The sequence below is a fragment of the Homo sapiens genome, chromosome 1 (assembly GCF_000001405.40).
Source record: "Homo sapiens chromosome 1, GRCh38.p14 Primary Assembly".
In the NCBI taxonomy this organism is placed as follows: domain Eukaryota; kingdom Metazoa; phylum Chordata; class Mammalia; order Primates; family Hominidae; genus Homo; species Homo sapiens.
This window is the reverse complement of record NC_000001.11, coordinates 152903075-152921093: the sequence shown is the minus strand read 5'-3', so window position 1 is coordinate 152921093 and position 18019 is coordinate 152903075. Positions and strand designations below refer to the sequence as shown.

General features: G+C 44.2%; 1 protein-coding gene across 1 annotated transcript, besides 37 other annotated features; it reads right to left on the bottom strand.

The window, feature by feature from the left end:
• IVL (involucrin) lies at positions 9208–12548 on the bottom strand. Its single transcript, NM_005547.4, has 2 exons — positions 12505–12548; positions 9208–11315 (listed from the first exon to the last, which is right to left on the bottom strand). The coding sequence occupies exon 2, from the start codon at positions 11294–11296 to the stop codon at positions 9539–9541; it is 1758 nt and encodes a 585-aa protein (NP_005538.2). The 5' UTR covers positions 11297–11315; positions 12505–12548; the 3' UTR covers positions 9208–9538.
• Positions 11308–12508: a silencer, noted in NCBI's record as "+40 to +1240". NCBI's record gives its function as "may downregulate expression in MCF-7 and keratinocytes on heterologous promoter and may regulate native promoter" and the evidence as "EXISTENCE:reporter gene assay evidence [ECO:0000049][PMID:1487505, PMID:10816578]".
• Positions 11308–15047: a promoter, noted in NCBI's record as "-2500 to +1240; full proximal regulatory region". NCBI's record gives its function as "drive expression in epitheium of keratinocytes" and the evidence as "EXISTENCE:transgenic organism evidence [ECO:0001131][PMID:8234288]".
• Positions 12508–13447: a promoter, noted in NCBI's record as "-900 to +40". NCBI's record gives the evidence for it as "EXISTENCE:reporter gene assay evidence [ECO:0000049][PMID:1487505]".
• Positions 12554–12788: a promoter, noted in NCBI's record as "-241 to -7; proximal promoter region (PRR)". NCBI's record gives the evidence for it as "EXISTENCE:reporter gene assay evidence [ECO:0000049][PMID:7759510]".
• Positions 12656–12677: a protein binding site, noted in NCBI's record as "AP1-1". NCBI's record gives its function as "mediates response to protein kinase C" and the evidence as "EXISTENCE:protein binding evidence [ECO:0000024][PMID:9506439]".
• Positions 12656–12677: a protein binding site, noted in NCBI's record as "AP1-1". NCBI's record gives its function as "mediates response to protein kinase C" and the evidence as "EXISTENCE:protein binding evidence [ECO:0000024][PMID:9506439]".
• Positions 12658–12676: a protein binding site, noted in NCBI's record as "AP1-1". NCBI's record gives its function as "mediates response to phorbol ester and green tea polyphenol" and the evidence as "EXISTENCE:protein binding evidence [ECO:0000024][PMID:7759510, PMID:11698415]".
• Positions 12658–12676: a protein binding site, noted in NCBI's record as "AP1-1". NCBI's record gives the evidence for it as "EXISTENCE:protein binding evidence [ECO:0000024][PMID:15025563]".
• Positions 12658–12676: a protein binding site, noted in NCBI's record as "AP1-1". NCBI's record gives its function as "mediates response to phorbol ester, green tea polyphenol, arsenite" and the evidence as "EXISTENCE:protein binding evidence [ECO:0000024][PMID:7759510, PMID:11698415, PMID:15037572, PMID:20006635]".
• Positions 12658–12678: a protein binding site, noted in NCBI's record as "AP1-1". NCBI's record gives its function as "mediates response to phorbol ester, arsenite" and the evidence as "EXISTENCE:protein binding evidence [ECO:0000024][PMID:7759510, PMID:15037572, PMID:20006635]".
• Positions 12658–12678: a protein binding site, noted in NCBI's record as "AP1-1". NCBI's record gives its function as "mediates response to phorbol ester" and the evidence as "EXISTENCE:protein binding evidence [ECO:0000024][PMID:15037572]".
• Positions 12668–12947: an enhancer, noted in NCBI's record as "active region_1737". NCBI's record gives its function as "activates an Ori minimal core promoter by ATAC-STARR-seq in GM12878 lymphoblastoid cells {active_cell/tissue: GM12878}" and the evidence as "EXISTENCE:reporter gene assay evidence [ECO:0000049][PMID:35858748]".
• Positions 12675–12696: a protein binding site, noted in NCBI's record as "C/EBP site". NCBI's record gives its function as "mediates response to phorbol ester, thapsigargin, green tea polyphenol, curcumin" and the evidence as "EXISTENCE:protein binding evidence [ECO:0000024][PMID:10037704, PMID:10970794, PMID:15044435]".
• Positions 12702–13198: a transcriptional cis regulatory region, noted in NCBI's record as "PstI/AvaI fragment; negative regulation of gene expression". NCBI's record gives the evidence for it as "EXISTENCE:reporter gene assay evidence [ECO:0000049][PMID:8550612]".
• Positions 12782–12814: a protein binding site, noted in NCBI's record as "H2 footprint". NCBI's record gives the evidence for it as "EXISTENCE:protein binding evidence [ECO:0000024][PMID:8550612]".
• Positions 12881–12920: a protein binding site, noted in NCBI's record as "OL40". NCBI's record gives its function as "suppresses gene expression" and the evidence as "EXISTENCE:protein binding evidence [ECO:0000024][PMID:15120610]".
• Positions 12881–12933: a silencer, noted in NCBI's record as "-386 to -335". NCBI's record gives the evidence for it as "EXISTENCE:reporter gene assay evidence [ECO:0000049][PMID:15120610]".
• Positions 12958–12977: a protein binding site, noted in NCBI's record as "T3". NCBI's record gives the evidence for it as "EXISTENCE:protein binding evidence [ECO:0000024][PMID:8554386]".
• Positions 13002–13025: a protein binding site, noted in NCBI's record as "-454 to -477 probe". NCBI's record gives its function as "promotes gene expression in HCK cells" and the evidence as "EXISTENCE:protein binding evidence [ECO:0000024][PMID:12126624]".
• Positions 13065–13080: a protein binding site, noted in NCBI's record as "T2". NCBI's record gives its function as "negative regulation of transcription" and the evidence as "EXISTENCE:protein binding evidence [ECO:0000024][PMID:8554386]".
• Positions 13081–13097: a protein binding site, noted in NCBI's record as "T1". NCBI's record gives its function as "negative regulation of transcription" and the evidence as "EXISTENCE:protein binding evidence [ECO:0000024][PMID:8554386]".
• Positions 13421–13430: a protein binding site, noted in NCBI's record as "G1 (-883 to -874)". NCBI's record gives its function as "mediates activation by interferon gamma" and the evidence as "EXISTENCE:protein binding evidence [ECO:0000024][PMID:10585866]".
• Positions 13781–15022: an enhancer, noted in NCBI's record as "HindIII/RsaI fragment". NCBI's record gives its function as "stimulates expression in response to calcium" and the evidence as "EXISTENCE:reporter gene assay evidence [ECO:0000049][PMID:8550612]".
• Positions 13866–14348: an enhancer, noted in NCBI's record as "PstI/AluI fragment". NCBI's record gives its function as "promotes differentiation" and the evidence as "EXISTENCE:reporter gene assay evidence [ECO:0000049][PMID:8798509]".
• Positions 14217–14241: a protein binding site, noted in NCBI's record as "-1691 to -1667 probe". NCBI's record gives the evidence for it as "EXISTENCE:protein binding evidence [ECO:0000024][PMID:12192491]".
• Positions 14499–15022: an enhancer, noted in NCBI's record as "HindIII/HaeII fragment". NCBI's record gives its function as "drives expression in epidermis" and the evidence as "EXISTENCE:transgenic organism evidence [ECO:0001131][PMID:9804813]".
• Positions 14581–14684: a response element, noted in NCBI's record as "-2131 to -2028". NCBI's record gives its function as "mediates induction by calcium" and the evidence as "EXISTENCE:reporter gene assay evidence [ECO:0000049][PMID:9159190]".
• Positions 14632–14658: a response element, noted in NCBI's record as "VDRE (vitamin D response element)". NCBI's record gives its function as "mediates response to vitamin D" and the evidence as "EXISTENCE:reporter gene assay evidence [ECO:0000049][PMID:12445200]".
• Positions 14637–14688: an enhancer, noted in NCBI's record as "-2140 to -2088". NCBI's record gives its function as "promotes expression upon binding by Sp1" and the evidence as "EXISTENCE:reporter gene assay evidence [ECO:0000049][PMID:9895295]".
• Positions 14637–15022: an enhancer, noted in NCBI's record as "-2473 to -2088; distal regulatory region (DRR)". NCBI's record gives its function as "drives expression in upper granular layers of epidermis, esophagus and cervix" and the evidence as "EXISTENCE:reporter gene assay evidence [ECO:0000049][PMID:9512462]" and "EXISTENCE:transgenic organism evidence [ECO:0001131][PMID:11850802]".
• Positions 14644–14683: a protein binding site, noted in NCBI's record as "AP1-5". NCBI's record gives its function as "mediates response to phorbol ester" and the evidence as "EXISTENCE:protein binding evidence [ECO:0000024][PMID:7759510]".
• Positions 14652–14671: a protein binding site, noted in NCBI's record as "Sp1 site". NCBI's record gives its function as "synergizes with adjacent AP-1 site to promote activity of enhancer" and the evidence as "EXISTENCE:protein binding evidence [ECO:0000024][PMID:9512462, PMID:16123409]".
• Positions 14652–14671: a protein binding site, noted in NCBI's record as "Sp1 site". NCBI's record gives the evidence for it as "EXISTENCE:protein binding evidence [ECO:0000024][PMID:16123409]".
• Positions 14657–14676: a protein binding site, noted in NCBI's record as "AP1-5". NCBI's record gives its function as "mediates response to phorbol ester, oxysterol, calcium, and cholesterol sulfate" and the evidence as "EXISTENCE:protein binding evidence [ECO:0000024][PMID:7759510, PMID:10816578, PMID:11254751]".
• Positions 14657–14676: a protein binding site, noted in NCBI's record as "AP1-5". NCBI's record gives its function as "mediates response to phorbol ester, oxysterol, calcium, and cholesterol sulfate" and the evidence as "EXISTENCE:protein binding evidence [ECO:0000024][PMID:7759510, PMID:10816578, PMID:11254751]".
• Positions 14657–14676: a protein binding site, noted in NCBI's record as "AP1-5". NCBI's record gives the evidence for it as "EXISTENCE:protein binding evidence [ECO:0000024][PMID:15025563]".
• Positions 14657–14676: a protein binding site, noted in NCBI's record as "AP1-5". NCBI's record gives its function as "mediates response to phorbol ester, oxysterol, calcium, and cholesterol sulfate" and the evidence as "EXISTENCE:protein binding evidence [ECO:0000024][PMID:7759510, PMID:10816578, PMID:11254751]".

The following is an 18019-nucleotide window of genomic DNA, read 5'->3' as shown; positions in this document are numbered from 1 at the left end:
TATGGTTTTTTACCAAATGCATATTGCTTTCATACCATCAGAAAATCATTGTAAGCTGAACCATCCAAAGTTGAGGACCATCTGTATGTGTGTGTGTATCCCTATGTGGCTGATGTCAGCTGCCTCAAAAATCAGTCACAATTTCTTACCCAATATCTAGTCCTGAGCCAGTTCTCAGATCCAGAACCCATTGTTTGAAAGAGATTCAAGTCCTATTGAGAAAGGACTGTACAACACCACATTAAGTGTATACAGTAGTGATTCAAACTTTTATTTCCTTAGCAACTGTACTTTGGAGAAAGGGAAGTACCCAGGTTCTTTGAGGGCTGTTGGATATATAATTTGAACTGACACTAACATCAGGGGACTCCAGGGATTACCTTGACCTCCCCATTAGAATAAGAGTGTATTGGGGTTAGTGATAAAGAGTTCTGACCAAGGTAGTCCTTTTCACTATGGGTTTAAGAAGTCAAAGGTCAGGTGGCTCACGCTTGTAATCCCAGCACTTCGGGAGGTCGAGGCGGGTGGATCATGAGGTCAGGAGATGGAGACCATCCTGGCTAACACGGTGAAACCCCACCTCTACTAAAAATACAAAAAATTAGCCAGGCGTGGTGGCGGGTGCCTGTAATCCTAGCTACTCGGGAGGCTGAGGCAGGAGAATGGCGTGAACCTGGGAGGCAAAGCTTGCAGTGAGCCAAGATCGCACCACTGCACTCTAGCCTGGGCAACAGAGTGAGACTCCATCTCAAAAAAAAAATAAAATAAAAAAGTCAATGGCCACATCCAGTGGCCATTTTCCCAGTTTCTGGGTACATACTTGTAGGACAAACATATTTAGTGCCTGGAAGTTTTCTCATACTTGTTCCTTGATCCACGGAGTAAGAGCTATCATACTAGAAAGATCAAATTGAAACCCTTAAAACTGCACCCCCTTCCCAAATAGCCAAGATAGTAAATAGAAAACAATATATCATGGGCAGAATGGCAGAGATCAGTGCCACTCTTTTAGTAGTCCCCATTATACATTCCTATTTAATTGACCGCTACAGCTCTTGAAAAAAAAAAAAGCCAGGGATCTTGGTGAATTATTGTAATGGCTAATTTTGTGTGTCAACTTAGAGCATGATCATGGCTAAGATTAATATTTTCTTTTCTCCTCTGACACTGTATTTTCAAACAGACTGTCTTTGAGCTTACTGATTCTTTCCTCTGCTTGATCCATTCCGCTGTTGAGAGCTTCTAACAAAATTTTCAGTTCAGCAAATGTATTTCTCTGTTCCAAGCGTTCTGTTTAATTTTTTTAAAAATTATTTCAATCTTTTTGTTAAATTTCTTTGATAAATTTCCAAATTGTTTTTCTGTGTTATACTGGAGATCACTGAGTTTCCATAAAACTGTTATTTTGAATTTTTGGTCAGAGAGTTCACATACTGCCATCTTACTAGGGTCAGTCACTGGTTTCTTGCTTTATCCTCTTGGGAAGGCCATGGTTCCTTGTTTGCTAATGTTTCTTCTGAATTTATGTGTATGTCTTTGAATTGAAAGATTAGTTATTTATTCCAATTTTCTCTGTCCAGCTTGCCTTGGTTTTTATTGGATATGTTTGCTTAGAGATTCTTTGTAATTTACCTGTTGATTTTTTTCCTTTTTTCCCCCTGCTATGTTGCTGCCTCCTTTTTGGTACTAGATGGTACTTAATCCCAGGTTTGCCTCAGCTCTAGTCAAGGATCAGAGCACTACTTATCTTAAATGGAGGAGGTCCTCAAAGGAATGTCCCAGCAGTGTGGAAAGGCTGGCTAAGGATTGTTCCCAGGGGGCCTGTGGAATGTACCACTCACAGTGTGATGCTGCTGGACAGCCATCTGATTTGGCATCTCCTTTGGAAGAGTTACAGTGCAGAATTTCCAGGACTGGGGATGGTAGTCTCACCCTCCCTCACCCCTTTGTTTCTGGTTGTCCTCAGGGATATGCCTCCCTTCAGGCATTTATGATATTTCCCATGGGTTGAGACAGGGACAGGCCTCCTGCCAGAGAACCCGAGATTGTGGGGAAGCTGATTGTCCACCTTGATCTCACTTTTTCCGTTGTAAAAACCATGAGTTGGGGGAAAAATTTTTACACTTGGTACCAGGAAAACTAAGCATGGGGGAAGCAGGGGGCATCATGAATATAGAAGTCCAATTCTCTTAACATCTGCTCAGAGATTTTTTACTTCTCTTTTGCCACAGCAACTGTTGCATTCTCCTATTTGAGTTCTGGGATATTGCTGGTGATAATCTCTGTGCTGTTTATCTTTGTCTCTCCTTTCTCCCTCCTCCCTCCTCCTCCTCCTCCCTCCTCCTCCCTCCTCCTCCTCCTTCTTCTTCTTCTTCTTCTTCTTCTTGCTTTTTCTTCTTTTGACAGAGTCTCACTGTATTGCCCAGGCTGGAGTGTAGTGGCACAATCTCAGCTCACTGTAACCTCCATCTCCTGGGTTCAAGCTATTCTCCTGCCTCAGCCGCCACACCCAGCTAATTTTTGTACTTTTAGTAGAGACAAGGTTTCACCATGTTGGCCAGGCTGGTCTTTAACTCTTCACCTCAGGTGATCTGCCCTCTGTGGCCTCCCGAAGTGCTGGAATTACAGGCATGAGCCACCATGCCTGACTTCATTCTTCCTTCCTTCCTTCCTTCCTCCTTCCCTCCCTCCCTCCCTTCTACCCTCCCTCTCTCTCTCTCTTTCTTTTCTTTCTTTCTTTCTTTCTTTCTTTCTTTCTTTCTTTCTTTCTTTCTTTCTTTCTTTCTTTCTTTCTCTTTCTTTCTTTCTTTCTCTCTCTCTTTCTTTTCTTTTTTCTCTCTCTTCTTTCTTTCTTTTTTCCTTTTTAGTATTTTTGTAGAGAGTGAAGCCAGCTTTCTTCTATGCCATCAGTTTGGCGAGATTAATATGTAAATAAATGAACTATAAGTAAGCAGATTGCCCTCCATAATATGTATGGGCCTCATTCAGTGAGCTGAAGGCACGAATACAATGAAAAGGCCAGCCTCTCCGAGCAAAAGGAAATTCTCCAGCAGATTGCCTTGGAACTTCATTTGCACCATCAGTTCTCCTGGGTCTCCACCTACTGGCTTTCAGAATGTAACTGCAACATTGGCTCTCCTGGGTCTTGAGCCTACCAGCCCACATCACAGATTTAGACTTGCCAACCTCCATAATTGCATGAGTGTGAGCCAATTCCTTATAATAAATATATTTATATATGTATGCATACATATATATATATCTAGTTGTGTGTGTATAATATGTATATATACATATACTTACAAACATACATACATACACACATACCCATACACACAATGTATTGGTTCTGTTTCTCTGGAGAATGCTGACTAACACAATAATGGTAGACTTCCACAAACTTAACCAAGTGGTAGACTCAATTGCAACTCCTTTATAATATATAAAATTTTTAATAGAACAGATCAATATAACTTCTAGTGTGTAATATGCAGCTATATCTCTGATGAGTGTAGTCTGTTCAACACCTAGGAGTCAGGAGAATAAGAAGTGGTATATTCACCTAGGATGGGGAGCAATACACATTTATGATCTTGCCTTAGAACTGTATTAACTCTCTTGCTCTCGACACATTAAGTATGAAAGGACATTGATCATCTGAACATTCCAGAAAACATCATGCTAATCTGCTATATTAATGGCATCATGTATTATAATATCATAAGTAGAAATTATCAAGTAATCAGGATGTCCTGGTAAGATATTTGTATTCTACTCAGTGAATATATTCTTTATTATCATTTTAATATCTAAATAATCTGCAATGATCTTACCTCTTTTATTCATGATTTGGTCATTTGTGTGTTCTCTCTTTTATTCCCTTGATCACTCTAATAGGGAGTTTATCAGTTGTGTTTGTGCAAATTCTATTTAAGGAGTTCTTAGGGACACCCAAAAATAATAGAAGAGACAAAACTTAGGACACTAGAAAAATTTGATAATTTAAAATAAATATTATTAGTATTATAATGTCTGTAATGGAAAAAGTGCAGTACATACAAGAATATCCGGGTAATGCAAGTAGATAAATGGAAACTCTAGGAAAGAGTCAAGCACTAGAAAAAAGAAAACTGACAGAAATGAAGATTCCTTGGTGGGTTCATCAGTAGGCTGGACACAGCTGAGATAAGAATCAGTGATCTTGAAGACATGTCAGTAGAAACTTCACAAACTGAAGCAGAAAAAGAAAAAGAGAATTAAAAACAACAACATCAACAACAGAGTTATCCAAGAATGTGGGACAATTTTGAAAGATGTAACATATACATAACAGCAATACCAGAGGAAATGAAATAGCAAATGGAGCAGACAAAATATTTGAAGTACTAATTGGAGTTTTCCAAAAGAGCGATACATTAAATAACAGATCCAGGATGCTCAGAGAACACCAAGAAATCTACCCCTAGGCTTATTCTATTCAAACTGAACAAAACAAAAGGCAAAGAGAAAATTCTGAAAATTCTGCAGAATAAAAAACCTTACATATAGAGGAGCAAGGGCAAGTATTACTTACACCAGACTTCCTGTCAGACACCATACAAGCAAAAAGAGACTGAATAAAATATGTAAATTGTTGAAAGGAAAACTCTATACTTCTATATCAGTGATATCATCCTTAATAATTGAAGATAAAATAAATATTTTTTCAGACAAATGATATTCTGAGAATTCATTGTCAGAAGCCCTAATAGCTGCAATAAATGTTAAAAGAGGAAGGAATATTTTTTAAAATGTTATAAGAAGAAAAATGATATAAGTCAGAAATGTGGGCCTATATAAAATAAGAGGGAGTATCAAAAAAGGTAAAATAACATGCTTATTTTTCTTATTCTTAATTGATCTAATAGCTATTCAAAGTAATAATGTATTGGATAATTATAGCAAATGAATACATGATATGAATGACAGCAAGAAGAGTTGAGAATACTGTTATGAGTTATCTGCACTACTTATAAAGCACTATAGTGTTACTTCAAAGGACTTAGATGTGTTGTAAATGTATGTTTTAAACTCCAGGGAAACCACTAATTTTTAAAAGTAAACATAATTATTTATATAATTATATGCTAACAGAGAATATAAAATGAAAATAATAAAGTCTCAAAACTAGAGAAAGCAGAGAAAGAGGGAAAGAACAAAAGTGCTGTGAAGAAAAAACAGCTCCAAACATGGTAGATAATAATACAATTATATCACAAATTACTTCAAATGTGAATGGTCTAAATACATCAATAAAATGACAAGGATTACTAGCATAGATAAAAACCAATATCTGACTATATGTTGCCTGGAAGAAACCCACTTTAAACATAAACGCACCATGGAAACAATTTTTTCAACACATGGGAACCTGTGACCTAGGAACCTGTGAAATGTACCTCTCATAGTGCAATGCTGCCGAACAGCCAGTCTGATTTGGCATCTCCTTTGGCAGAGCTACAGTTCAGAATTTCCAGGGCTGGGGATGGTAGTCCCGCCCCCGACTTTGGTTCTGGCTGTCCTCAGGGATATGTCTCCCTTCAGGCATTTATGATGTTTCCCATGGGTTGAAGTAGGGACTGTTCTCCTGCCATGGAACCCAAGATTGTGGGGAAGCTGATTGTTCATCTTGATCTTTTTCCGTTGTAAAAACCATGAGTTGGGAGAAATTTTTTTTTTACACTTAGTACCAGGCAGATTGAGTGGGGGGGGCAAAGAGAGGTGTAGTGTGTTGAAACAGTTGGATACCCAGATACAAAATAATGATTTGAGACCTATCAATTCATAGTATCATAGTCCTAAATGAAGGATGTAAAATTAAAACTTCTATAGGATAACACGGGAGAAAATTTAAGTGATCTTGGGTTTGTTGATGAGTTTTTAGATACAATACCAAAGTGTGATTCTTGAAAAAAAATTGATAAGTTGGACTTTATTAAAATTATAAACAACTGCTTTGCAGAAGACATTGTTAACAGAATGAAAAGACAAGCCACAGACCAGGAGAAAATATTTGCCGAACACATATCTGATAATCCCAATATATAAGATAATTTTAGAAACTCAACAGAAAGAAAATGAACAACTCAATTAAAAAAGTGGGCAGAAGATCTGAACACCTCATAAAAGAAGATATGAAGATGGCAAAAAACATATGAGTGTATGCTTAACATCATGTATAAGAAAATTGCAAATTGAAACAATGAAATATAACTATGCACCTATAAATTTGGCTAAAATTCAAAAAGCTAACACCAAATCCTGGTGAAAATAACAGACAACAGGAAGAACTCATTGCTGGTGGGAATGTAAAACAGTACAGTCACTTCTGAATACTGAAAATGAATAATTAAGAAAACAGGTGGCAATTGGGGGCCAGGTTTCTCACAGCTGGAGTGATAATTTTCAGATAAGAAATGGGAGGAGGCTAGAAAGATCCAAGTAGTAATAAATTATAGTTGGAGACATTAGTATGAGCTCTGTTTAGCTTAATATAGATACAGATCACTACTAGAAAACATACATAAATGCCCACACACACAGGTTAGTATACACATATATACTTCCTTTGCCAGTTAAGAGGGCCTAAAGGAAATGCTACCCCAGGAGTAATGGTTATACCCAGTTCCAAGTTCTTGGTTTCTAATACCATTCTCCGATAAAATGAAATGGGACTCCTTGAAGAAATTAATTCTAGGACTGGGGCAGGAAATATACAAGGTAAGCCTGGAGTATCTTGTAGTGTCAGAAAGCAGGGCAGTATGCCAAAAAAAAAAAAAAAAAAAAAACAAAAACAGAAAACAAATTGAACATAAATACATACATACATAAAATAAAATTAAAAAACACATATTGATGGAAGTATATTTTAAAGAACACAGGAGCCAATGAAAGAGCTCACAATGGCCAAAGCTGGAAAAATTTGAACAAACAAATAAATAAAGTACTATTGGGTTATAGCCCATAGTACAAAATAACTAGTCATGACTCCATACTAATATAAATAAATAGGGTGGGGACAAATCTGTACTGAAAATTCCAAATAACTTATGAACTTATGTAGATTCTCCATCCTCAATGATGGAAACTTTACATTCCACTTTTTAATGGTGACCTTTGCATAGTGACTCCTTTCCAGAGTACAGTATAGAAGGGGAAATTGGGGGAGGGTGAGGAGAATAACTTTACAGTGGAGAAACCTGACACACATTGTCTCAGCTAAGTGATCAAGTTTAATAGCAACTGTGATGAGTTGTGTCTGATATACGTATACTTTATATGATGTGGTAAGAATGAATGACACTTTACCTCTGTGGTCTTCCTCCTAAAAACCCATACCCCAGTCTAATCATGAGAAAAACATCAGACAAATATAATACAAATTGAGGGATATCCTACAAAATATCTGACCAGCACCCCTCGCAGCTTTCAAGATCATCAAAACAACAACAACAAAAATGTCTGAGGAACTGACTCTGTCAAGGGAGAAGCCTAAGGAGACAAGTACATGCAACGTGATATGCTGGATGGGATACTGAAACAGCAAAAAGAAATTAGGTGAAACTAAGAAAATCTGAATAAACCAGGAACTTCAGCCAATAACACCGTATTGAGCTGCGATAATTTGTAGCAAATGTACCCTACTCATGTAAAATATTAATAATAGGGGAAACTGTGTGAAATATATGATAACTCTAATATTTTCTTAACTTTTCTACAAATTTGATACTGTCCTAAAATGTCTATTTTTAAAAAATCAACTGGAAAATGTGCACACACACTGGGTGCTTCTGATTACTGTACCTTCTGTCCCCAATCTCCCTGCCCAGAGCTTGAGCCTGCCTTCTCATGGTCTCAGTCATGAGAACCACTGACAAGTGCTAACCTAAGGAGGGATGTGGTTAGATTCGAATTTTAAGTAGAACACCCTGTGCTCTGGGTGATGAGTGGATCGCAGGGTATGTGGAGATAGAGAGCAAGAGAGACCAGCTGGAAGGGTGTTGCAACAGTTCAGGTGAGAAACGACTTCAGGCCGAGCTCAGAAGGTATTGGTGGAGATAGCAAGGACTTGATCCTTGATGGGGGTAGGGAAGAGGAGGAAGAATGAGGAATGATTGTGAATACACAGATGGCAATGGCGGTTTTCTTAACTCAAAGAGAAAACACCTAAGGAGGAAACACAGTGAGTGTTGCTGGGGTTGGGTGGGGAGGAAGGAATGCTAAGTGCCATGATGTGCAGATCTATTAAACTTGAGTGTCTCTGGACACTTCAGTAGGGAAGTCCCTGATAAATCCTTAACTGCCTGCAGTAAAATAGCTTCAAATAGCTTGAGACAGCCTGCCTAAAATGCTGTGGTCAAATAGTTAAAAGTGAGCAATTTGAAGAATTAAAAGCAGCGCTTTTCCCAGGAAAGGAGAGCCCCAGGTCCTGATATGATTGATGGCAGTAAAGGCTATGGAAATGTCAGGGAGCCAGGTAGCAGGAGGGTGACACCTGCAGTGACTGGGTCTGTATTTCTCCAGCTTAGTCAGTAGTTTTGGCTTCCATGACTGCTGCTGGTCCAACCTTTACTTACTTTAATAACGCTGTCACTTTCCCTCAGAGACAATCTGGAACACCTCCTCTTCCCACCTTGCCCAATTCTACTTCTATTGCTTTGCTAAAGTCTTCCTCAGCCAAGTAGGCAGACCATAAGACTTTTTGAAATCATGAGATTTTCTAAGAGAGAAAACCCAAGAAGAAGAGCCAGGAAATGTTTCCAGGGAAGGGACTAGAACCCAGATGGAGCCCCCAAGCTTTCCTAGCATCTTCCCAGTCCCCCTCCTGAGAGGAGCTGAGTCTGGAGCAGAAGTGTAGGGTGGGCTCTGCCAGGGGTTGAGTGTGGTGTTGTGGTGGAAGGTAGTGTTGGACTGAGATGCAACCAGAACAACGTATCCCCTTTTCATGGCTGGCAAGTGTTGTTTTCAAGTACATCAAGTGAAGCTGATTTTTTTTGGGGGGGGGTTTGTTTCTTTTTCAGGAACTGTTAGATCTATTGAGTGGTTTGAGGACCAAAATTTAAAAAGAGTCTGTCCTCCTTTGAGAATGGGCCGTGGGAGTCTCTTGCAGCCATTGACCCATACACAGGTTTTTATGTGGTGTGATAGAAGAAAATGCTAAAGAGAATATAGGATCCCAAGACTTCCAGGATTTATTATGTATCATTGTACACACTCACTGATTCAGCTTCAATACTGGGGAAGTAAGGATTCCTATAGTAACAATAGTCCCTCAAGTAGAGGCTCTGCTCACCTGAGGTTGGGATTGGGGTCATTGGGGTTGGCACTGGACAATAATTCCCTCTCTCCCCCACCCTCACCCCATTAAAGAGACATGTAGAGGGACAGAGTCAAGTTCACAGATGAGACGGGCCACCTAGCGGACCCGAAATAAGTGGAGCCAGTGGCTCTCTCTTCCCTTGTATGAGACGATCTGAGGGCCTCTGGACACTGCGGGTGGTTATTTATGTTTGGGTGGCCACTGCACCTCCTGCTTCTGCTGCTGGTGCTCTACAGGAAGCAATACTTCTCCCTTTGTGGGCAGGGCTGGTTGAATGTCTTGGACCTGGCCTGGAGCTGGGGCAAACACAGGCTGCTCCAGCTGCCCCTTCTGCTGCTCCAGGTCCTTCAGCTGCCCCTCCTGCTGCTCCAGATGTTTTAGTTGTCCGTCCTGCTGCTCTGGGTGCTCTAGGTGCTTTTCCTGCTGTTCCAGGTGCTTTGGCTGTCCTACCTGCTGCTCTGGGAGCTCCAGCTGTGCCTCCTGCTTCTCCAGGTGCTTCACCTGGCCCTCTTGCTGCTCTGGGAGCTCCAGTTGCTTCTCCTCCTGCTCCAGGTTCTTTGGCTGCCCCACCTGCTGCTCTGGGACCTCCAACTGCCCCTGCTGCTGCTCCAGATGCTTCAGTTGTCCCTCCTGCTCCTCTAGGTGCTTCAGCTGCCCCACCTGCTGCTCCAGGTGCTCCACCTGCCTCTCCTGCTGCTCCAGCTGCCCCTCCTGCTGCACCAGATGCTTCAGCTGCCCCTCCTGCTGCACCAGGTGCTTCAGCTGCCCCTCCTCCTCCTCCAGGTGCTTTGGCTGCCCCTGCTGCTTCTCTAGCTGCTTCAGCTGCAGCACCTGCTGCTCTGGGAGCCCCAGCTGCCCTTCCTGGTGCTCCAGGTGCTCCAGCTGCCCCTCCTGCTGCTCCAGGTGCTTCAGCTGCCCCTCCTGCTCCTCCAGCTGCTCCAGTTGCCCCTCCTGCTGCTCCAGATGCTTAGGCTGCCCCTCCTGCTGCTCCAGGTGCTTCAGCTGCCCCATCTGCTGCTCTGGGAGCTCTGGCTGCTTCTCCTGCTGATCCAGGTGCTTCAGCTGCCCCTCCTGCTGTTCCAGGTACTTCAGCTGCCCCATCTGCTCCTCTGGGACCTCCAGCTGCCCCTCCTGGTGCTCCAGGTGCTTCAGCTGTCCCTCCTGCTGCTCAGAGAGCTCCAGCTGCCCCTCCTGCTGCTCAGAGAGCTCCAGCTGCCCCTCCTGCTGCTGTGGGAGCTCCAGCTGCCCCTCCTGCTGCTCTGGGAGCTCCAGCTGCCCCTCCTGCTGCTCTGGGAGCTCCAGCTGCCCCTCCTGCTGCTCTGGGAGCTCCAGCTGCCCCTCCTGCTGCTCTGGGAGCTCCAGCTGCCCCTCCTGCTGCTCTGGGAGCTCCAGCTGCCCCTCCTGCTGCTCCGGGTGCTTCAGCTGTCCCTCCTGCTGCTCTAGGTGCTTCAGGTGCCCCTCCTGCTGCTCTGGGAGCTCCAACAGTTGCTCTTTCTTCATTCCCAGTTGCTCATCTCTCTTGACTAGCTCTTGATCCAGTTGCTGGTCTAAGAGCTTCTTCTCTTCTTCCAGCTGTTTGTTTAGCTGCTGATCCCTTTGTGTTTTCTCCTGCTTAAGCTGCTGCTCTGGGTTTTCTGCTTTCTGATATTCCTCATGCTGTTCCCAGTGCTGTTGCTGCAGCTCCTGCTCCTGTGGCTCCTTCTGCTGTTGCTCACATTCTTGCTCAGGCAGTCCCTTTACAGCAGTCATGTGCTTTTCCTCTTGCTTTGATGGGACCTCCACTGGGAGCTCGACAGGCACCTTCTGGCATGGGGGAGGCAGTGGAGTTGGCTGTTTCATTTGCTCCTGATGGGTATTGACTGGAGGAGGAACAGTCTTGAGGAGCTCCTGACTGAGGGCAGGGGAGAGGGTCACTGGCAGTGTGTGTTGCTGGGACATCTTAGAAGCTACTGTCAACCTGAAAGACAGAAGAGGTCTGATGCACAGGCTGAAGGCAAAGGAAATAGATGAAACCTTGGGAATCTGCAGAAGTATCTGGTTTTTTAGCATCCCCTCTTCCCTTGGGCAGGGTACTGTTCTACCACCTCTGGACTATCATTTCCCAAAAGCAGCAGAGAGAGAAGGGTGGAAATGTGGAGGGGCAGAGAAAGGTCCTCCTAGGAGCCTCCTTGTTCCCAGGTGAGAGCCAACAAGGAGATCTGTCTGCAGGGCTGTTCTGCAAGGGTGGGTCAGGTGCCAGCTCACTGTCTGCTCTTGTCTAGTCCTTGTGTCCACCCTCATCGCTTCACTGACCAAGGAGCAGAGATGCGTTCTGGGATTATGTCACAGTGAGGAGTAAGGCCTTAGGGAATGAAATGTCTCTTGGAGAACACCAAGTCCTAGAAAACCAATAGGCCGTGCCAGAGAGGACCTAAGAGGTCATGGTGTGACCTCCAGACTGGAGCCACAGGACATGCTCTAGGCCTGAATCTCCCATTGGAATGCTGTGTGTTTCTGGGCATGTCACTTAGTCTCCTGGGATTTGGTTTTCCCCCCTGTAAAGCCAGCAGGTTGGCCTATTCAACCCCAGGGCTGCTTTCTCTCCTGACCTTCTGAGGTTTAGCTGCAGTCCTTGTGTCTGGGGTGGGGCTGCGGGAGCTGGAAGGTTGCTGAGAGTTGGAGGTTGTTCTTCCAAGTCTTATACTTCTAAGTTGAGTTTTCCTGTCCCAGCTCTGCCTAGGTTTCTCCAAATAGAAAGGTTTCCCCATTCTGCCATCCCTCTGTGCAGCATAGCCAAAAGGTAGAAGCTCTTCCCTGAACCTCTCCCTCCATAAAGAAGGCAAAATGATGGTCTGTCAAAACCCAAGAGGTTTAGGAAAGAAGTTGAATGCTATTCCCCTCCTCCCTTCCATAATTCTCTCTCACACACAAATCCAAAAATATGGTCACAAGAAAAGATGGGACATAGGATGATTACTCTCTGTTCTGCACTTCTGTGCCAAGGCACTTTTCTCTCAGTACTCTGACTCGAGTCCCCCTAGAATGAAAGTCCAGCTGAATCCAGCCCCAGAGTAATGCCCACCCCCACCCAGGCTGCCCACCCCCACCACATCGTATGCTGTTGGAGGTCCCGAGTCCCAACCCTGGTTCTACCATCCGACACTTACCAGACTCACAGTAAGGCTGAGGCAGAGGCTTTGGTGGAGTGCTGAGCTGAGCAGGAGTCAGGGCACTCTTTATATCATTCTGCAGCCTGGCCTCCCTCCAGGTTGAAGGTGATGGACAGGTTTCACCACTCTAGTTGGTCAACTTCCTCTAACCCCTTCCTGACTCACCACAGGCATCTTAAGCAGCAAACCCTTTAGGGCCCCATTTCCCAGGGACACACAGCTCCTGCCTGGCCAGAGGATTCTGGTAGCTCAACTATTCCTGTGATGCTTTTCTGACCTAGGCACAGGGAGCTGAGTGAGGCATCCTACTGTTTTGTGACCTTAGTCAAACTTCTGCTCTGAATCTCAATTTTTCCACTTTCAAAATGAGTTTGTTCTCATTATTAGGCCAAAAGATTCACTTTCAAGGGCATGAAATGGAAAGTTATGTGTCTTTCGGGGATGTCCAGGCTGGGTTATATGTTTGAAGATAGAGTCACTTCCCATGAAGGGGTGGTATTTCTGGGGTGTTCTCTTGGGCCACAAGCCCTTCCTCTCTCAGAATATATTTTTTAACTCCATCCTATGTGGAAATAAACTCTGTCTTTGGTGGAGGGAGTTTGACTTTAGGCCAAGTAGAGTCAAGTAGAAGGCTTCTAGGAGTCCTCTGCTGCTGCCACTTGCTGCCCAGCCTCTATGCCCGAGGCTGCAGTTAGAGAAGTTCTCAGGAATGCCATGCTCATAAGAACTCCAAAGCACGGCCCACTCTAGGCAAGGAAACAAGATTGAATCTACACAATATAAAAATAAGTATTGCTTTTTATAATGACAAACCAAACTACTTTCTTAAGTACTTTTTTAAATGCATGAAGGTATAAAGATCAGAATCAAATCATCCATTTCCTGTTGTAAATCATACTCTAGAAATAGCTTAAGAAATCTTTCAGAGTGGGGATTTGAGCACATCTCTCCCCCGTGCCAACAGTGCACCAGCACACTTGAAATAACATTCAAACTCACTGCCGTGGTTTAAAAGACCCTGGGTACCTGGCTTCTGCCTTCTTCTGGGGCCCCAATTCATGTCAATCTCTCCCTGAGAGGTATATTCTTACCTCACTGAGGGCCTTCGGTTCCTGAGATGAGCCCAGAGCTCTCCACCTGGGGGCTTGGCACCTGCTCTCCTTCTGCCCACCGGCCCCTCCCCAGGTCTCTGGTTCTTTTATGCCTTTCAGCTTCAGTGTCAATGTTGGGGTCTGTCAGAGATCCTTCTCTGTGTACCATATCTAAAGGATTGGTACTTAATTTCACTTATAACAATCTAGAGTAATTTATTTGCATTTGTTCACTTGCTTATTGTCTATCTTTCCCACTGGAAAATAAGCTAAGAGCAGCGTATACCTGGTATGTTTTCCACTATACCCCTAGAACCTATCAAAACTACTGCATATAATATGTGCTCTACAAGTATTCATTGAAGAACAGTGAATTTTACGACCCGAAAATAATGACTATTAAACATTTCAGTGTTGATCAATGTTTATATGTGTGTGTCTGTATGTGTGTGTAAAAACCAAACTGATTTATTTCTTCCCTTTCTTTTTAATGGTTGGCTAATAACTTATTATATGGACATCATTCATTTACACTCTCTTTTTTACAATCTAATCCAAAAAGAAGGAATTATAAAGACAATACTCAGTGGGGCTAATTTTGAGAAGTGTCCTGATTCCCCATAGTTTTCCTGACAGGCACATTTCTCTTAGCCCCAAGTAAATCTATTTAAAGCACTAATTTTGTCATGTTCCTGGATCATGCCTAAAAAGACAGAGGGAGGACTCACAAGGCACCCTTGGTTTCTGCAGTGCTATCCCCTCCTCATGACCTCTCTGTTCCCTGAGCCCACCCAGGGACCTCACATTCTTTTTCCCATAGAACAGGGACTGTGCCATTTTCTGGGGCAGAGGAAGCACAGCCCACTCTGCCCTGAAGAACTAATCAAGCATCCTTACTTTGGCGCTGATGCCCTTGTGCTCTGCTGCTGACTTCATCTGGGGGGAATCTGCCTCTTCCCAGCCCGTGACAGTCAGTCTGGGGCAGCAGACTCAGATCAAGGAAGTCACACCGGTCTTATGGGTTAGCAGGGGCTCAGTATCTGCCAGATCTGCCTCCCGCCCTCTGACTCACGGCATAATAAGAGCCTTAAGGAGAAGATGGTATGTGTGAGCCTTTGACTGCTGGGCAAAGCTAGGGTGTGGGAAAGAGGGCAGTGGATACAGCTGAGGGAGTGTTTGTGTGTGTGTGTATGCAAGGGAGGGGTTGGGGAAACCTCAACATTCTAGGGCTGAGAAGTCCCTTATTCTGCCCACAGGTTGCCCCATTTGGGAGACAGGCATTCACGTATATGGGAGAGGTTCTTTCACTGCCTATGTGAATGACCTCATAAGCTCCAGGTCCACATGACAAGTCTGGGTAACTGTCCAACCCCCACCCAACATAATAAGGATGAGCTCATATCCCATGACACATGGAGAAGCTTTGGCCCCAACTCTGCCCCAGCCTAAGGATGCACTGGCTATTTCAAATTTGGAGGCAGAAGCTGGCTAGTTTGTCTCTCTCCTGAGTGAGGCAACCTATTTGAGCTGTTGCTTAGTGGTAGGGGGCAGAAGAAATTGGTTATGGTGATTCAATGTCCTGTGGGGAGGGATGCTGAGGACAGCTCTTAACAGATTGCCAGAGGGGTCATAGCAGATGGTCCTGGAAGGTGACTTGGGCCAGAAAATCATGCATTCTCATCTTGAATAGCCATGCCTCATCTGCTTCCTGGTATGGCACTGCCCCATGCTCTGAGGCTGCTAGCCTCCTCTCCCTCTCACAAGCCTCCTCCTCTCCCCAGGGCACTGTCTCCTACATCAGCGGCTCTCAGTCCTCAACCTGCCAACCTGCACTAGTTGTCTCCCCACACACTTCTTTTTTTTTTTTTTTTTTTGAGACAGAGTCCACTCTGTCTCTCAGGCTTGAGTGCAGTGGTGCAATCTTGGCTCACTGCAACCTCTGCCTCCCCAATTCAAGCGATTCTCCTGCCTCAGCCTCCTGAGTAGCTGGGACTACAGGCATGTGCCAACATGCCTGGATAATTTTTGTATTTTTAGTAGTGATGGGGTTTCACTATGTTGGCCAGGCTGGTTTCGAAATCCTAACCTCATGGTCTGCCCGCCTCAGCCTCCCAAAGTGCTGAGATTACAGGCGTGAGCCACGGTGCCCGACCTTCCCCACAAACTTTGAATCCTCCTCATCTTTTTCCATTGCTTCCTGGACCTGACCTTGGCTCTTCTCTCACCTTTTGTGCCCGTCTGCTATTCAAGGAAGGGAGATGAGACCAAGAAAGGGCCAAGAGGGCTGACTCATCCTTTTTGGGCTTCTGGGTGGATCTGTCTGTCCTGACCTGCTTTCCTCTCTTACATCTTCTTATAGCTTTCTCTCCTGGGCTTGTTGGATCACTGGATCTCAGTCACCAGTTCTGGCCTTTGTTCTTGGATCTGAGAGCTGTGGAAGGGCAGCCACAGCTCTGCTCTTGGTGGCAGCAAGAGGAGCAGAGGCATAAAGGCTGCCAGTAGTAGAGGAAAGAGACACTCAGTTCCCCCTTCTCCAACTAAAGGAAATTCCCTCCCCTTTGGGCTCATTGTTGGGGAAATCACATTTTGTACAGTTGATTCTCTGTCCAGCAGCAGAATGTCTGAGATGGAGGAGTCCTCAGAGAATGCATGGGAAATGCCTTACACTGCGCCTGGTGCATAGGAGCTTCTCTATTTATCTATCTAATAATAACTAATAATAATAACTTAAATTCACAATATGTAAATTCATAGAAACAGAAAGCAAACTGATGGTTGCCAGGAAGTGAGAGGAGGAGAGAATGGGATGTAGCTGCTAATGGGGATGATGAAAATGTTATAGAACGACATAGAGTTGGTGGTTGCATAATATATGAATGTACTAAACACCACTGAACTGTTCACTTTAAAATGGTAACTTTATGTTATATGAATTGTACCTCAACAAAAAAAGAAGTAATGCCTTTGCCTAATACCAGGTCACAAGGTAAAGTTGTTAATATAATTGATGTATTCATTCAACCAACACTTACTGAGCCTCTACTATGTGCAAGGCACTGGAGATAGGGTTATGAATAGAAAACACACAATCCCTGCCTTCAAGTAGCTTAGAATGCAGGTGCTTCTTAACACACCTATGCCTACTTCTCACCATTGGGGCTCATCTGTCTTCTGACAGGAATTGAAGTCTGGAGAGAACATGAGTTGCCCAAGAGCCTACAGCGAGGCTGTGATAGAGCTGGGCTGGAACCCATGTGTCCTGACCTCCAGTCAGGGGCTCTCCTCCCCATCAGGCTGCTTTGCTAGGTGCTTGAGCATCTGATGGCTGTGACAGGTTCCACTAGGTGACTTCAAAGACACATTCTAGCTCTGTGAGTCAGTCACTTACCTCAACATGGCCAGTTCTGGGTTTTCTGGAGGGAGTGTCAGTTTTCTCTGGCTCTCATTCAGCCAAAATGCCCTTGGGATGACCCTCTTTGGTCCTGGGAATAGGGAGCTCCACTTCCTGGCTGGGTCTGGTGTTTAAGTTTATTTCAGCCTAATCCAATCTGAAAGAATGTTACTGTTCAATGGTGGGCACTGGCTTTGCTGTCAGACAGGCCTGGGTTTGAATTGCACCTGCACGTCTTTTTATCTGGACAAGACATTTCACCTCTATGAATTTCAGTTTCCTTGTCTGTAAAATGGGGATACTAACAATTCCTTAGAATTCTGTGAGAATTTGGTGAGGGAATATATGTGCTTAGCACATAGGTTGTAGTCAGGAAGTTGGCTATTTTATCGCTGGGGGCCATTGCAAAGTTTTGCTGATGGATTACAGTGTGTTACCTACCTAAAGATAGTTTTGAAGGTGTAAGTTCTTTAAAGTTCATCAGCTTTAACTAACTCATTTTGCCCATGAAAAACATGAAGCCCCACAGTCACACAGTCCATGGGAGTAGCGTGGTGAGGGGAGCCAGGTCGCCTTCCCATTTGCTGCTCCTTCCAGTCTGCTGCTGCTGGGCCTCAGGTGACGATTCAGCCCAAGACATGAGACTCTGTCTTGTGCTTTGATAATGGCCTGTGTGCACTGAGTATGCTCCCCTGAGTGGGAATCATGGGGACATTAAGGTGGCTTTCCATTTCTAGAGCTTGATGGTACATGGTGGGGCCTGGGATCTGCATGGGCAGAGGACAGACAGTGGTTTGGAACAAAATTTTATCTGGAAAAAGGAATCTAGCAATAGAGTGAGGAGTATACATACAGTCACAGCCCATCAAGTCAAAGGTATAAGGTACGATTTCAGCCAAGCACATGGAATGGAGGTGATAGGCAAAATACCATAAGGGGTAAGACTTCACAGGGCTGTGTGAAAAAGAAGGCAGGGCTGTGAGGAGCACAGTTTGGTTGAAGGCAGCCAGCAGTGGCAGGGCCCTTGGGT

What these genes read in the sequence shown, in the direction of transcription:
- IVL (NM_005547.4), bottom strand. Translation starts at nt 11,296, where the DNA reads ATGTCCCAGCAACACACACTGCCAGTGACCCTCTCCCCTGCCCTCAGT.